At 44.6% G+C, this 17,029-nt stretch overlaps 1 long non-coding RNA gene across 2 annotated transcripts in view; it reads left to right on the top strand.

The window, feature by feature from the left end:
- Positions 1-7,947: 7,947 nt before the first annotated feature.
- Positions 7,948-17,029, top strand: part of LOC105373628 (uncharacterized) — a 45,070-nt gene continuing 35,988 nt past the window's right edge. For both annotated transcript variants that reach the window (XR_001739715.2, XR_923353.2), the window contains exons 1-3: positions 7,948-8,376; positions 9,672-9,715; positions 10,440-10,799. This is a non-coding gene — a long non-coding RNA (uncharacterized LOC105373628). The remainder of the gene's footprint in view (positions 8,377-9,671; positions 9,716-10,439; positions 10,800-17,029) is intronic.

Raw genomic sequence — 17,029 nt, 5'->3', positions numbered from 1 at the left:
TTGGACTTGAACTTTGGAGTTAATGCAGGAATGAGTTAAGACACTGGGGGACTGTTGAAAAGGCATGATTATGTTTGAAATGTGAGAAGGACACAAGATTTGGGAGGGGCCAAAGGTGGAATGATGTAGTTTGGCTCTGTGGCCCCACCCAAATTTCATGTTGAATTATAATCCCCAGTGTTGAGGTAGGGACCTGGTAGGAAGTAATTGGATCATCGGGGTAGATTTGCCCCTTGCTCTTCTTGTGATAGTGACTTCTCATGAGAACTGGTTGTTTGAAAGTATGTAGCACTCCCCCCTTCCCTCACTCTCTCTCCTGCTCCACCATGGTAACATGTGCTTGCTTCCCCTTCTGCCATGACTGTAGATTTCCTGAGGCCTTGTCAGTTATGCCCCCTGTACAGCCTGTGGAACTGTGAGTCAACTAAACCTCTTTTCTTCGTAAACTACTCAGTCTCAGGTAGTTCTTTATAGCAGTGTGAGAATGGACAAGTACAGTAGACTTACATTTAAAATGAGTTTTTTTTGTAGAAAATATATAGTAGGGCCTTGTTTTTTCATCTACTCTGACAATCTTTCTCTCTCTATTTTTTTTTTTTTTTGAGACAGGACCTCACTCTGTCACCCAGGCTGGAGTGCAGTGGTGTGATCATGGCTCACTGAAGCCTCAACATTTCAGGCTCAGGTCATCCTTCCACTTCAGCCTCCTGAGTAGCTGGGACCACAGAGATGTGCCACTGTGCCCACCTACTTTAAAAATTTTGTAGAGATGGGGTCTCCATATGCTGCCCAGGCTGGTCTTAAACTCCTAGGCTCAAGCAATCCATCTGTCTTGGTCTCCCAAAGTGCTGGGATTACAGGCATGAGCTACTGTGCCTGGCCTTCTCTTACAATCTCTGTCTTAATTTGTGCATTTAGACCATTGATGTTCAAAGTGGTTGTTGATATATTTGGATTAATATCTACCCGTATTTGTTACTGTTTTCTATTTGTTGCCCTTGTTCTTTGTTCCTACTTTTGTCTTCCATTCTTTTCCTGCTTTTGGTTGTAATTGAGTGTTTTATATGATTCCATTTTCTCTCCTTTCTTAGCATATCAGTTATACTTATTTTTTAAAACATTTTTTAGTGGCTGCCCAAAGTTTGCAATATGCATTACTTACAACTAATTGAAGCCCACTTTCAAATAACACTATACCACTTCACAGGTAGTGTGAGTATCTTATAATAAAATAATTTGAATTCCTCCCACTCATCCCTTGCAGCAATTGTTGTCACCCATTTTACTTACACATAACCATGCATAATCAAATACATTGCTGATACTTGATATTATTTTGAACAAACTGTTACCTATTAGATAAATTGAGAATGAAAACTCAGTTTTTATTTTACCTTCATTTATTCCTTCTTTGATGCTCTCCTTTTCTATGTAGATCCAAATTTCTAACCTATATATTTTTTTCTCTCTAAAGAACTTCTTTTCACATTTCTTGGAAGGCAGGTTGACAAGTATTTTTCAAGAGAGAGACAGGAGGAAATTTGAGATAGAAGAGGAGAAGACAAGACACAGAGAAGAGAAGCTGATGTGAAGATGGAGCAGAGAGAGATGCAGACAGAAGCCAAGGAATGCTGACAGCTACCAGGAGCTGGAAGAGGCAGAGAAGGATTCCTTTCCAGATCCTTTAGTGGGACCGTGGCCCTGCCGACACCTTGATTTCAGCTGTCTAGCCTCCAGAATTGTGGGAGAAAAAGTTTTTATTGTTTTAAGCCACTAAGTTTGTGGTGATTCATTACAGCACCCCCAGGAAATGAATATAGTATCCCAAGTAGGATTAGCCCTAGTTACCTACTGTGGTGGTGAGCTCAATAATTTAAGAGTTACTTTTTCTTCCTTTCTTAGGTTGCTCTTCCCAGTTCTCCATTCTTGTTCCCTATGATCATTTCCCAAAATAAATTCCCCGCATGCAAGACCTGGTCTCAGGCTCTGACTTCTGGGGAAAATCGAGGCTAATATACTTGGTTCCAGAAGTGACCATAGGAAGCAGAACCTCAAGATGTTATGGTGGAACTGCTTCATTCACTGTCCAAACAGTGGGAAGAACTTTGTTTGTGGTGGTGAGTTGGTAACAACTTCTGGCACCCAATGCATCAGTGAAGTGACCGAAAGGTCTAGGGCATGTGAGGAACAGTGCCTCCAAGGTAAAGAACAATGTATTGTTTCTTACATCTCCTGTTACTGGGAGGCACTGTATTTGGTGTGGCTCTTTCAATTTGGGAGGTTGCATTGAATGCATTTGGGAATTTTGCTCTAACCCTTTTATTGGGTGACTCAGAATCCCATCAGTTTTGGGAAGGCTCTGCAGCGGTTCTAGGCTCTGGTGTAGGCTTTGCTGCCACTTAGGTCAGAAGACCTAACATGGTGCTAGAAGTATCCACAATGGATAAGGATGCCTGTGTGGAGTTCGCTGAGGGATAAACTCAATATTTCAGTGCTAACTGAAAATGGACCCCTCTGTACTGTAGCCCCACTTAGGGGTGCCCTGTAGGACAGTAAGAAGAGAATTCCTCATTATGGGAAGAGCTGCAAGCAGTACGGTGATTCTTAATTTGTATGGAAGCAGAGATGGCCTTAAGTATGGCTACACATCAACTCCTGGCAGTGGTAAGTGGTTTTCTGGGTGTCCAGGCATGAGAGGAACAAGACTGAGAGATGTGTCAAGAAGTTAGGAGATGAGGCATTTGGGAGGGCCTATGGGAGTGGGCACAGCATATAATGATATTTGAGTGTAATGTTCATGCTCACCAGAGGGCTTCTACTACAGAGGAGTTCCCTTCATATGAACATCAGCTCCCATTGTTCCTTGGCCATCTCGGGGCTTGTGCAATGAGCCCCTGAATGCCACATTGGCCAGAAACAAGGCTACACACTTGGGCCCAGCAGCACAAACTTCTTTTCATCAAGGCTGATCTAGCCACTGCCACTGATAAATGCCCAGACTTCTAGCCAAAGAGAACACAGCCAAGCTCTGGATGTGAAAATATTGCTCTAGGAAACCAGCCAACTACCTGGTGGGAGGTGGATTTTTTTCAGATCCCTTCAATCCTGGTGGAAGCAGCAATTTGTTCTTATCAGAATTAATGCCTACTCTGGATATGAGATTCTTATCCCTGGCTGTCAGCGTTGCCATCCAAGGGCCAAGAGAGTGCCTGATTTTTCAGCACAGAGCCTATATAACATTGCCTCCGGTCAGAGACCCATTTGATAGCAAAGAGGTGTGCTACTGCATACGTGGCTATAGGAATCTCTGGTTCTACCATTTAGCACATCATCTGGAAGTTGGCAGCCCAATACAAGGATGGAAGGACCTATGAGAGACTCTTTTAAGGTATTATCTTGGGGACAGCACCTTGTGGGTTTGGCATGTAGCTTTCAGGATTGTTATTAATATATGCATTGAGCCAATGGCCCTTATATGGTCTGCGTCCCCTGTAGCTAGAGTACATGGATCCTGGAACCAAGGCATGAAATAAGGAGTAGCCACTCTCACCATTATTCCCAGTGACCCACTGGAGGAATTAATATTTTCCACACTGAAACCCTAGGCTCTATTGGATTGGAGGCTCTCTAAAAGGTGGAGGCATGCTTGTACCAGGTGGGTTCTGTTGAACTTGAAGTTACAGCTACTGCCTAGTCATCTTAGATCCCTTGAGCCAGTGGACCATAAAAAACAATATTGGTGGGGATAATTGAGCCTAATTACTATGAGAAGTTGGGTTTCTACTCCCCAGCAGGGTTAAGAAAATAACATGTCTGGAATGAGAGGACACTGGTGCTTCATGCCAAGAGGAAACTGTAAATGGGCCATGGCAGTAACCACAACTGCCTAACTGTGGCCAAGGGAACCAAAGCTCCAACTCAGCAGGGATGAAGAGTAAAAGTCTGGCTGAGAGTGAGGGGAGTCAAATGTGTGCAGGTTAAAGAAATGATGCACATCCACTGTGGTATTGAGTCCAGTTGCAGCAGGACGACTGTAGCTTGTTCCAATAACTCTCCCGTAGTGTCTCTCATAGAAATTTCCACTGACCTCCCCCAGTAAAGACCTTGTAATTGATTGTATTGAACACCTCTCATGCCTCATAACTTACACTTCTTCAACTCACCTTCTACTATGGCCACTGCTGCAGTGACCAGCGTCACACCGGTGTGGCTTTCCAGCACCTTCCCTTGGTAGCACTTCATGTCTCACCTTCTGCGTGGAGACCTCTCTGAAACTGCTCTGTAAGATGACTGCTAAACCAGTCTGGCACTCACTCACTCATGCACAATCTATAGAAGTAAGAGGAAATGAATACCTTATGTGGCAATCCTTGACCAATGGGAGACAGAAGTTAGGGAATAAATCAGTGCTTCTGTATTCCTTCCCACAGGCAGACAATTTTGAGGTGCATTACACACAGCTCCTTGGAAGGTCCCAGGGAGACTAAGCCCCAGTTACCATGGTGGTGGCCAGTTCAATAAAGCACCCTTGTAGTGGCCTTCCTTCCTTCTCTGCTTTACTCTTTTCAGTCCCTCGCCCTTGTTCCTTGGGTCACTTCTCCAATAAATGACCTGCATGCAAATGCAAACCCTTGTCTCAGGCTCTGCGTTTTGGCTAAGACACATAGGTTCCTTGGGGAAAATGGAGATAGTTGTGGAGTGCTGATATGAGTGAGGACAGAGAAAGTTAGGGAAAGGTTCACAGGGAAAAATATCATTCATATTAGATCCTACTTCTTAAAAATTACATAGATGTGTACTTGTATGCATAAAGAGATGTTTGTGAAAATAGTCACCAAAATATTAATATTGATTATCTTAAAATGGTGAATATACTTTATTATATTTTATATTTTAAAAAGTATTTATGGCCAGGCACATGACTCATGCCTGTAATCCCAGCACTTTGGGAGGCTGAGATGGGAGGATCACTTGTTATCAGGAAGCTGAGATCAGCCTGGGCAACATAGTGAGACCCCGTATCTACAAAACATTTTAAAAAGTATAAAAAGATAGAAAAGTACTTATTACATTTTTGTAAGATGTTTGAATTATTTACAACAAACAGGTGATATTTATGTATTGTAATCAGAAAAACATCCTAAGAAGGAAGGTATAAATAAATGGTGGGGGGAAAAAGGAGACCTTTAGACCAAGGTGGGTTTCCTCTTTTCTGGCATCTGTGCACAAAATCGTCCTTTCTCTCTCCTGATGCCAGAACGCTTCTCTATACATCAGCTTAATGCAAACAGAAATTCGACCAGAGCCCACTAGTTCCACAGCAGGAGCCGGACTTCAATTGAGGCTCAGTTGGGAACCCCTGCTATGCATACACACAAGCTTCCAATCTTGTTGAAATCAGCTGACTCAAACCTCAACTTGCAGGAAAAGAAAATGGAAGTCCTGAGCTCACAGGGAGTTGCTATTTCCTCAAAATTTTCACTTATGGCAGATAGAAAGGGGGCCTAAATAAGTCAACAGGTTACAAAGAGAAAATTGGATCCTCTGAGAAATGATACCTTCTATTTATTATCTATTTATTATAGTCACTACATGGGGTACTAATCCAATCCAGTTCTAAAGGTCCTGATACATTACCTGGAGTCAACTGTCTCATTTAAACTGTCTTCAGTACAGCTCGGCACAGTTCATCAGTTAATCAGGCCCTGGGTTGAACAGTGGGTAGGACCCAAGGCTGTGCTCTCAGGAGGTGGGGAAAGCTATTGCACCTCTTTTTTGAACGCGGATTTGAATTTTGGAAGATACAAGTAAGTTTCTAATTTGGAGAGTAGGGTGGTATGTACCTTGCAGAGAAAACCTTCTAGGTAGAAGGATTTTAAAATGTGTCCCAGAAGATTGGTGAATCAGGTCCAAAATCCTGGGTTGGCAGCAGTTTCATATGTTATTAAATCTTGACTTTAGAGTTGAAAGGAATTTCCCACTGGAAAAAACATAACAAAAGCTGAAAACTTGGCACTTGACTAGAAAATCAAGAAGAGCGAAAAGGCAGCTCTCTGCAAACCTCAGTTTAGGGATCTCAATCACCAGGGGCATCTTTCTTCAGCCTTAAGACCAATGTTTCTACCACTCAGTATCTATAAAACAAGCTTATACACATCATTCCTTATTGAAAACCATAATTTACAAGTTGACTCTCTCAGGTTTCATTGTTACCTTTCCCCTGCCCCCAACTCTAGGTTTTCCATAAGCTTCAAATTCATTGCCATCCTCACTCTCCACTTACTCTCTTTTCCTTTGTTTTAAGACTTATTTTACCTTGTCAGGAAAAGATTCTCAGGGTATGAGCCTACTTTGAAAAGGTAGGGTTGAAGGTGGGCAGTTCTGGAAAAGTGAGCCTCAACATCTTTCACCTGTCTTCAGGATAAATTGTTCCTCCTATCTCAGCGGGCTACCAGGGGTAGACTTTCCCAGAGCTGAGATGGGCTGGCTACCCAGGTGACAAAGGTTGGATGCTCCAAGTTGCATGATATTTAATGGTGATTTAAATATTTTTATACTCTAGGAATCTTCTAGAGTGCTGGAAACGTTCTCTATCTTGGTCAGGGTTGTGGTTACCAAGTATACAATATATACAAATTTACCAGTCTTGCACACTTTATTATATATAAAGTATACTTCAATTAAAAAGTAATTAAAATACACTACCCTCAAAATATCCAGTGCCATGCATAAAACTTCAAACTGTCCTCTTACGATTTTGGGCTTTGAAACATGGAAGAGAGCTAATTGTTTTTTTCTTGGACATTAAACACCACTAAGATAACACATTTTGAACTGGCAACAATTTTGGTTAGCATTCTCGTCTCATAACTAGAAAAACATTCAATTTTCCTAGGAGAAAAGGAGAACTTAGAGAAGAAATGGACCTTTAATTGCAAGACGTTGTGATAGGAGGCAACAGTCTCCATTTAGTTGATTACTTTCTTTTCCTTTCCTTTTTTCAAAAGGCAACATTTGATTTATAGTTGGCAGTACCCTCAAATGCAGTTTCATTTCAAAATGAAAAAATGTTCAATTCTTGAGTGATTTGTGGACAGTGCCTGCCTTCAGGATCTTTTCCCAGTGTGTGGCTTCCCAGGAGACTGCCCCAGACAACCAGCAGGACTGTGCTTCTCATGTGCTCGTAGCTGGAGCCTGCTGGCTGGAAGTAGGGCCCCTGATGCCATTCCACTGAGGCCGAGGGTCCCAGCTGCTTCCCCACTCTGGACCCTTGAAGCAGCACAGGATGCTCCATGGACCGCTGGTCAGCTGTCTGTTTCTAACTTGGAATTGTTTGCCTCTACTAAATCAGCCACTCTGTGCGCAATCTGGACAAGTTGTTTACCTTCTGAGCTTTCAGGTTTTTTTGCCTGCAAAATGAGGGAGTTAGTTGGTCAGACCCAGTGGATGGCAGCTCTGGCTGTGGGTGAAACCACAGGTGAAACTCACCTGGGAGGATTTAACCTGAATAGGGAAGTAGGTGCTGTAGCAAACATTTTTCAGGGCTTTGGCTTTAAGACTGTCAGTTCTTAGGGTTTTTGGTTGCAGAGCACGTCTTTAAAAAATGCAAGCCTGGTGCGACACACTTCTTCATCATTCATGCCACCGAATGACATTGAGTATATTTACTGGGTAGTCTGATCCGAATATGTCACATAACCTGCCTGTTTGTTTCCCTTTACTGCTTCTAAAGTTATCTACCCTCTGTTAGAATAAGTGAGACCATCACTGGTTAGTTTTATTATTGTTTTAAACCTTCTCCTCTTTAAATATTTTTAGATTCCAAGAAGTTGCAAAAATAACACAGAGAGTTCCTGTGTACCTTTCACCCAGCTCCCCCAATGATAACATCTTACATAACCATCATCACCGGTTATTATTCCATGATTAACTCTCCTCTCTACCCTCAGTGGAGGCCCAGAGCAATCAGCCTTCACATCTGAAAGAGCCTAATAGCAAGCTGCAGCATTTTTGCAATGTGAGAGTGAGGAGCTGAGATGAAAACCCAAGCTTCCTAGTTCCTAATCCAGAGCTTGTAGTGTCTTTGTGATACAGCCTTGCAGAGAGGTTAAAAAAAAATCCCCAAATGAAAACTGATGGCTTATCTATTTAAAGTAGAGGCAGCAAATAACTCATGAATTCATGCCTTTGCTTATTACGTCCCTTGCAGTGGAGATGGATGGATGAGTCGATCTATCTCTGCCTACATGTCTCTCTGCACTATGCAAGGAAGATGAGATAGGTTGGGGAAAGCAGTGAGGTATGATGGATAGAGGACATGGCCGAGACTCAGAGAACTGAAGATATAGCCCTAGTTCTGCCGACAGAGTGAACTTGGTAAGTCATTCTCTGAGCTGTTATTTCTCTGTTTGTAAAATGGCAATGGAGGAAGACTAGGCTGGGGAAGGAAAAGTTGGAGGCTCAAAATTGTATGAGTCTATGGAAATGGGTGTGTCAGGCTGGGCTTCCTAGGAAGCTAACTCTGAGAAGTAGGGTAATATGCAGGCTACTTGTTAAGGCGAAGCTTTCATGGGAGGAAGGGGCTGAAGCAGGATTGGGCAGGGAGAGAAGTTGAGGCCCAATGACAGCCTTGGCAACTGCGTGAGGAGTTGTGGAGCTAGAACACCCTTTGGCATAGTAACAAGTAGAGGTGAAAGGTCCAAGCCTTGACACCCACATCCATCTGGTCAGGCAGCCCTCTGCAGCAGAGGCCATTTTTCCCGATGACATTCTCAACTGCTGGTCAACAAGGTCTTCATTAAAGGGTTATCTGGAAGGCCCACCACCATGTCCACCATAAGGCAAAAACATGACATGGCTTTTAATCAATAGAATAATAGAAATAATAAACATTAACATTCACAGGGATATTAGAGATCATGTAGCTCAACCTCCTCATTGAACGGGGGAGGAAAAAGGAAGATTCAGTGACTTGCCCAAGGTCATACAGCAAGGTCATGGCCAACCGAGTCCTGGCCCTTGTCTCCATTCTTTCCAGAATAGGACAGCTCACATGCTATATACCTGCTAAACATCCTCCTCTCTATGTAGAGAGGGCCAGGCAGGCCACAAGCAGTCCTGAGGGTGCTACAAGCTGGCCTTGGCCACAGCCATGGGGGTCTGAAGCCCATGCTGGTTGTTTCTAACAACTCTTTTACCCCCAGTGCCTTCAGTCTTTCAAATAAAGTGGCATTCATCCTTCTGGCTGTCTGTGAGCCTGTCCAGGGAGTATTTTCAAAGCAATCTTTTCTCCTTGGAGCCTGGTTAAAAAGGGGAAAAAGTTAAAAACGCATTAGGATTAGGCTCAGTGGTGATGGTGTCTCAGAGCCTTAGGCCGAATGGGAAATTCATCAATTCATCATTCAAAGCTGGACTGACAGAACACAGAGCCAAGCCGGAGAGGACTGGAAACTGGCATTTCCCCCTGGATTTGCACAATTCCTCTGCAAGGATCGTGGGGGCCTGGGTTGGAGAGCCCTACATGGCTGGATAATGAACTTCCGTTGTCCTGCTGAGAGCTGGCCTCTGTGTCTGGCAGCACTTGGGGAGTGTGCATGTGTGAGGAATTGGGGGAAAGCATGCCAGAAATGGTTACATTTTATAAGAAATGTCTTATCTTTTTCCATTCACAGAGGAAAAGAAAACATCAGCACCAGAGCCAAACCTATTTCTCCGGGTAATCCATCTCTGTACTGCTGCTCCCTGCAAATCTCTCTCGCGTTAGGTTCCCTGGCTTCAGACTAATGCACACACTGTATTCCTCAGAAATTTAGTAAGAGACCTACGTGTCTTTTGTAATTTGTATTATCTGTGTCTTATCTCCACATAATGTGCTAATATGGAAATTAATTTCATGCTCATCAGATAGCAAAGTAAATTATCAAGGTATGGGTTTCTTTTAGTATTGTTGAAAGTTCTCCCCACCCCACTGTCTGGCAGCTGAATACTTAATATTATCCAAACAGGGAAAATTAACTTGCTGCAAATACATCCGAGCTAATTTAGAGCTGAAGCGATTCCTTCGCTTCTCAAGCCCACGTGGGACTTGACCCTACTTGCTCAGTCTCTTCTCATCACTCTGTCTGGGTACCCCCTGCATCCTCTCTAACTCAACTGCCCTCCAGAAGGTCAGTTAAATGCATTACACGTTCTCAAGCCACTGTCCTTTGTATAGACCTGTCCCTTTGCCTAGATCATCCTTCCTTGCCTTCTTTCCCTGAGCAACATCTGCTTCATCTTTCAAGAATGCTAAAATGTCACTTCTCTGAAAGCTTGGAGTTGGGGCTCTCTTTGTGTGTGTTCATGTGTTATCTGAGGCTGGGGATGGCACAATCCCACAGGTGGGGGTGTCAGATATCCCCCAGGGAGCTGAGATTTGATTCGTTGCTCCCTCCCCACAGGGAGAGGATTCCTGCAGGGGAGGTCTGCTCATGTTCTGGGGGCTGCCCTCCATCATGGCTACCTACCTTCGGAATGTTTGCTTTCACTGGGCCCTCCTGGATGGATTGGCAACTCTTCCCAAGTCAGACCCTGGTATGCCCTTGTTGGTTTCTAGCAGTTAGCAGGCTGGGCAAGGAGGCGACTGGGAAGAGTCCTCCTCAATGAACGCATGCGTGTAAGAGGGAAGGAATGAACTACGAACAGGAAGTAAATTTCTTTCCAAGAGAAAAAAGCTGGAAAAATAATTGTTCCTCTTGTTTAGAAGATGACAGCTTTTTTTTTTCTTCATTAAGCGCCCTTCTCTTCAAAAGACAAAAAAGGTAAGATTCTCTGGGTCAGAAGCCAGACAGACTTTTTCACAGCTCTGAAAAAGTGAGAACAGCGAATTCACTTCCCTTCTCCCAAAAGGCATGTGCCACCGGGTGCTCCTGCTCCCTGCAAGATCCCTTCCTGTAGAGTTAGGAGGTAGAGGTGTGGCTCCGATGTGTTCCCCAGGCGTCCCTGTGAGGTCGGCGCCCTCCCCTGTCCATTCCCCTTAGAGCCTTGGGTCGCTTCCCACCCCGCGTCCCCTGGGACACCACTGGACGCCTGGCCCTGCCCGTGAGCGCCGCTCCACTCCGCCTGGATGTGGGCACGCGGGAAGGCCACTGCCCAGCCGCCACTCCCGGCTTCCCTGAAGGGCAGGGCAGGGGCGGGAACGGAAGGGAGCTGCATGGAAGGAAGCCGTTTGGGAACTGTGGTTGGTCTGACTGGGTGTTGGGTTTGTGGCTACCCAGAGAAAGGCACGGAGTTAGCCCTTCGCAGTGGGTGACGCCCTGCTCCTCGCCCGGTCCCCCTCAGCTCAGCCTCCTGTGAAAGAGAATCTGGGGCTACAACGCACTTCCCTCCCCAACTCCGGGGAACGCCGTCTCCCTGCAGCGTAGTAGGAAAGGCGCCCCTGCAGGGGTGCAGCTGCAGCCCCAGGGAGAAGCCCCTTCAACCCCCCACGCTAGGAGAGGCCCACCGCCCTGGCCCAGAGGTCGGCCTGGCCTCAGTTTCCCTCCCTCTGTCCTCCGCCCCCAGCTCCCTCTCCCCAGAACTAGGCAGGGCAGGACAGCCCTTGGGGGTCTTGGCTCTTTACTTGGGTCCCTTTAGAGCTCTTCCTATCAGTGAGAGATTTATTCACAAAGACGATTCTTTTTGTTGTTCTGGGGCTATTGACTCAAATACACAAAATACAAACACGGAGTCACTCAGATACTACGATCTCTCTAGTCTGTGTTAATCTAGTACAATTTCTCCCTAAGTAGAACATTGATCCAGGCACTGACCCCATCCCACGATGAGGAGTATTATTTTCTGTTGCTCTGCACGACGATGTCAGGACAGCATCCCCCTTCCCCACCCTGCCCAGTCCTCCCAGGCTTGCCTGGGCCTGTGTGAAGGGATAGTGCCTGTCCCAGAACCACCACTCACCCCTTGGTGGCAACACAAAGAATAAGCACGACTGCTTTTGGGCCCTTAGCCCAGATCCTGGGCCAGGTGTCCCCACACCTGTTAGGGAAGCAGTAAGGATTTCTTCCTGTGCCAGCAATCTCTTGCTGAGGGGATGGGAGGGGGATTCATTCTCTGATTTCACGTATGGTTTTAGTTCCCATGAGATCCCCCAAGGACTTTGTAGCCACAGCTGTTTGTCTATTCTCAGCTATGCAGGCAGAAAGGCAGGCAACAGGGTCTTCTCCTCGGAGGAGCTATGGTGTCTGCCTTCAGGGAGTGCTCCCACACTTCGGGAGGCTAAACTTTCCTCATTGAGACAGCACAGCTTCCTGTGAAGCTGTAGAGTAAGGAACGCTGCCCAGCACACACTGGGGGTTGAGGGCTGTGGGGAGAGGATCCTCACTCAGAGAGGGGGCAGGTTGCCATCAGGCAATGCAGGGACTTTGTCAAGGGCCAGAAATCTGTTTTCCGTTCCTATGTCCCACCCTGGATCTCCTCGTTCTCCTTCCCCAGTATTTGCCAGGCATAGGAGACTCTGTAGTGGCTTTAACTATGGTGCTGGAGGGAGCATGACTGGGTTGTGTGTTTGGGGAGGGGTGGAAGAGTGGAGGTGCATGGCATGTATGTGTATGTGTACATGGATCACATATGATGGGCACTTACATGTTGCTTTTTAATGAGAGATGTATTCAGTTCAAAGGACATTTAAGGCGTTTATGCTGAGCTGGTGCTGCCAGGTGTGTGCTGCTTAGAATGAAAAGATACATCACACATGTTCTATGCAGTAAAATAACCTCAATCCAGTGGAACAGTGTTTCTCCAACTTTTCAGGCCGTGATTCACAGTAAAAATTCTTTTCTTAAAAATTATATTTATTTGTGTGAAATATAACATAAAATTTATTATCTTAACCATTTTAAGTGTACAGTTCAGTAGTGTTGAGTATATTCATGTACAACAGATCTCCATAACTCTTTCAATGTGAAAAATTAAACTCTGTACCCATTAAAAATAAATCCCCATTAGAAATATCTTTTATGTTGCAACCTCAGTGCACACACACGTGCGTGCACGCGTGCGCACACACACACACACACACACACAACTGCTTGAAAATTTTCGTGAAACAAATACTTGCTCTTACTCCATGGAACACACTCTGATATTCTTTTCTATTCTACTTACTTATTTTTGAAAATGCTGGTCAAGACCCAATAACTTCTTTCAGTTAGTGTGCTTTAGTGGGTTTCACACCTGCAGTTTGAAATGCTCTGCTGTAGAATACAGACAAGATCACAAATTGCCATGTGATCAGGCAGAGTCAGGTTCGGGGCACAGGGCAGGAGCAGGAAGACAGTTCTGGAGGATTTGTAGGAGGGAGGGAAACCACTGAGTCAGGAAGATCAGAATAGGTCTCCTGGGAGAGTTGCTGCCAGAAATATTCCTCGAAATGTCAGTAAGATTTCAACTGAGGGCCGGGCATGGTGGCTCACACCTGTAATGCCAGCACTTTGGGAGACCGAGGCGGGTGGATCACCTGAGGTCAGGAGTTCAAGACCAGCCTGGCCAACATAGTGAAACCTTGTCTCTACTAAAAGTACAAAAATTAGCCAGGAGTGGTGGCAGGCACCTGCAGTCCCGGCTACTCAGGAGGCTGAGGCAGGAGAACTGCTTGAATCTGAGAGGTGGAGGTTGCAGTGAGTTGAAATCGCGCCACTGCAGTCCAGCCTGGGTGACAAGAGCGAAACTGCCTCTCAAGTAAATAAATAAATAAATAAATAAAAATAAAAAGAGGTTTCAATTGAGAGTAGGGAATAAGAGGGATAAGATTTGTAAATAAAAGGAGGATGTTCCAGGCAGATGAAATAGCAAGTGTGATCGTAACTGCACAACTCACTAATTAAGTAAATTTGTGCCTCTGTTTTCTTATCTGTAAAATGGGGATAGTAATAGTGCTTACTTCTTAGTAACTTGCAGGTTTAGTAAATTAACCCATGTAAAGCACTTAGAAAAGTTCCTGGTACATAGAAAACATGTAATGCTAGTTCTTACTATATATTATATTATATTGAATTTTAAGGAACCTTATTCAGCTAATCTATCTATTTACAACTGAGCTGAAAAAAATGAATCAGAAGATAACTTCCATCACAAAGCTCTTCCCTAAAATGGAGTTACTGACAATAGTTATAGACCATTGTCTGTTCAATAGCAAGTGATAAAATAGTAAAAGCAGGAATAATAATAACAACTAGCATTTATTAAATGTCCAGGATGGTACTGAGCACTTTACACACATTATTTCATCTAATCAGTAGTTATAGTCAGAAGCACAGCCATTCATACCTAAGCCCTGGACTATCTGGGTTCTGTATCAGTTTTTCATAGGGAGACCTCTGCCTCTACAAGAAGATCATTGATAGAGAAGAAGGGAGTTTGTCAGATAGAGAGAAGTCTTTTTAAATCTAGGCAGGCTGTGGGGACTGTCTTGGGAAAGGTGGCAGGTTCTTGAGGAGCAACAAATGAAGTGTATCTCTGTTGCCGTGGCCGCCCAAGGCCACAGAGAGCATTCCCAGGGTAAGCCTTTGACCCTCACAATGAAAGCCGACGAAAATTTCCCACCTCTGAGTCTAATTCTATCAGGGGTTCCTAGTGTTTCCATGGGGAAACAGGCAGCTAAACAAAATATAGCATGGGGTTTGTAGAAACCTAGGAAATTCTATGGAGAAGACTTTGCTGTCTTCATCCTGCATACTCAGCTACAGGGTGGCTCACTGAAGACCCTGCACAGAAGCTCATGCCCTTACTCAAAAGATCACCTTTCAGGCCCTCCCTGAGATCCTGCTAAGTCTCATATTAGGTATGACTTTGATCAGTCCAAATAGCTTTCTGTCTTGAAGCAGACTAGGAGCCTGAATTAAAAGGGATTGGAGGGTGTGTGTGGAGGCTGCTGAAGACAAGCATGCTGGCTGCAAGACTATGAAGGAAGGAGGACCTGAGACATTACACTTAACAAATGCCCCATGCATAGAAAACAGTGCTCAGAATGTTCTGGGAGCAGAACCACGCTACATGGCTTTGTAGCCCACCTAGACCCTGTGCAGAATAAAGCACGGGCAGAAGGAGACCCTGTGTTCTCAACACAAGGTGAACCAGCATGCCTAAGTGGAAGGAAAACGAGAGGATGACTCAGAAGACCTGGGGTCAGCCCCAGTTCCACCATGTACCAGTTTTGTGACTTTCGGCAAGTCATCATCTCTTTTAGAGTCTCAGTGTCATGTTTGCCAAATGGGGGTGAGGTGCGTGATAATAATAGGACATTGGCTACAGGCTTGTAGTGAAGACAAGATAATATAGATGGAAAGTTCTCTGTGAGTTTAAAAGCACTGAATAAATGTTTGAGTTTAATTATTCAGCTCAGTGTTTAAGGCAAAAAGAATATGTACAGTAAGATTTAAAAATAGTTCTCTCCAAAATTGGAGAAATGAGTTTTGGAATGGAAAGGGATGACTTTCAGCTTGTTAAATGGGAAATAACCATACTTACCTCTTAGGGTTGCTGTGAGGGTTAAATGAGATAATACATCTAGAACAGGGTTTCCTAACCTCTGTGTGATAGGTGTTTGGGCTGGATTATTCCTTGTGATGGGGTCTGTCCTGTACACTGCAGGATGTTTAGCAGCACTCCTGGCTTCTACCTACTACATTCCAGTGAGTAGGCAGTCCTTCCCCAGCACTGTGACAACCAGAAATATCTCCAGACATTGCCAAATACCCACTTTTGGCCCTGGTTGAGAAACGCTGGTCTAGAGCATGTAGAGCAGCATCTGGCACATGTTGAATGCTCAATATGTGTTTGCTTTTAGAATTTTCAGGCTTATGCCTGTAATCTCAGCACTTTGGGAGGCCGAGGCAGGCAGATCACCTAGGTCAGGAGTTCAAGACCAGCCTGGCCAACATGTTGAAACCCCATCTCTACTAAAAATACAAAAAAATTAGCCAGGCATGGTGGTGCACACCTATAGTCCCAGCTACTCAGGAGGTTGAAGCAGGAGAATCACTTGAACCTGGGAGGCAGAGGTTGCAGTGAGCCGAGATCATGCCACTGCACTCCAGCCTGGATGACAGAGCAAGACTCTGTCTCAAGAAAAAAAAAATCATTAAGGAAAGGTACACAGGAAAAAGCAGAGATCCCTGGTATTGACACTGACTAGCTGTGGAACCTAATCTTGAGAATATTAATGAATTTGTGTGAACCTTGGTTTCTCCTTCTCTAAAAAATGTTGATCATTGTATATACCTTACTTAGTGGATATTACATAAAATAATGGATTAAGTATTACTTTAGTTCCACGTGAGGATATCTAAAACAATGATGGTACTGTATCTTTAAGGCAGGGGTCAGCAAACATACCCCCATGGGCTAAATCTAGCTGCCATCTGTTTTTGTACAGCACATAAGCTAAAATGGCTTTTAGACTTTTTTTAATTGAGTCTCGCTCTGTCGCCCAGGATGGAGTGCAGTGGTGCAACCTTGGCTCAGGGCAGCCTCTGCCTCCTGAGTTCAAGCGATTCTCCCACCTCAGCCTACCAAGTAGCTGGGATTACAGGCGTCTGCCACCACACCTGGCTAATTTTTATATTTTTAATAGAGATGAAGTTTCACCATGTTGGCCAGGCTGGTCTCAAACTCCTGACCTCAGGTGATCCGCCCGCCTTGGCCTCCCAAAGTGCTGGGATTACAGGCCTGACCCACCACACCTGGCCAGCTTTTACATTTTTTAAAAAAATCAACAGAAGAGTAACATTTCCTGACATGTCAAAACTATATGAAATTCACATCAGTATTGTTGGAACATAGCCCCACTTATTTTACACCTGCTTTCTTGCCACAAGGGCAGAGTTGAGCAGCTGTGAAAGAGACAGCACGGCCCACAAAGCCTGACATATTTACTGTCTGATCCTTTGCAGAAAAGTTGTCTGACCCTTCCTTTAAGGTCTTAACAAGACTGGCGAGTTGGACCACTTACTTTTGGATATTATGTGCTTCCCCCTTCCATTTGATGCTTGATTTT

The sequence above is a fragment of the Homo sapiens genome, chromosome 2 (assembly GCF_000001405.40).
Source record: "Homo sapiens chromosome 2, GRCh38.p14 Primary Assembly".
Classification (NCBI taxonomy): domain Eukaryota; kingdom Metazoa; phylum Chordata; class Mammalia; order Primates; family Hominidae; genus Homo; species Homo sapiens.
The sequence above is the reverse complement of the archived record's forward strand: the minus strand, read 5'-3'. Positions and strand labels throughout refer to the sequence as shown.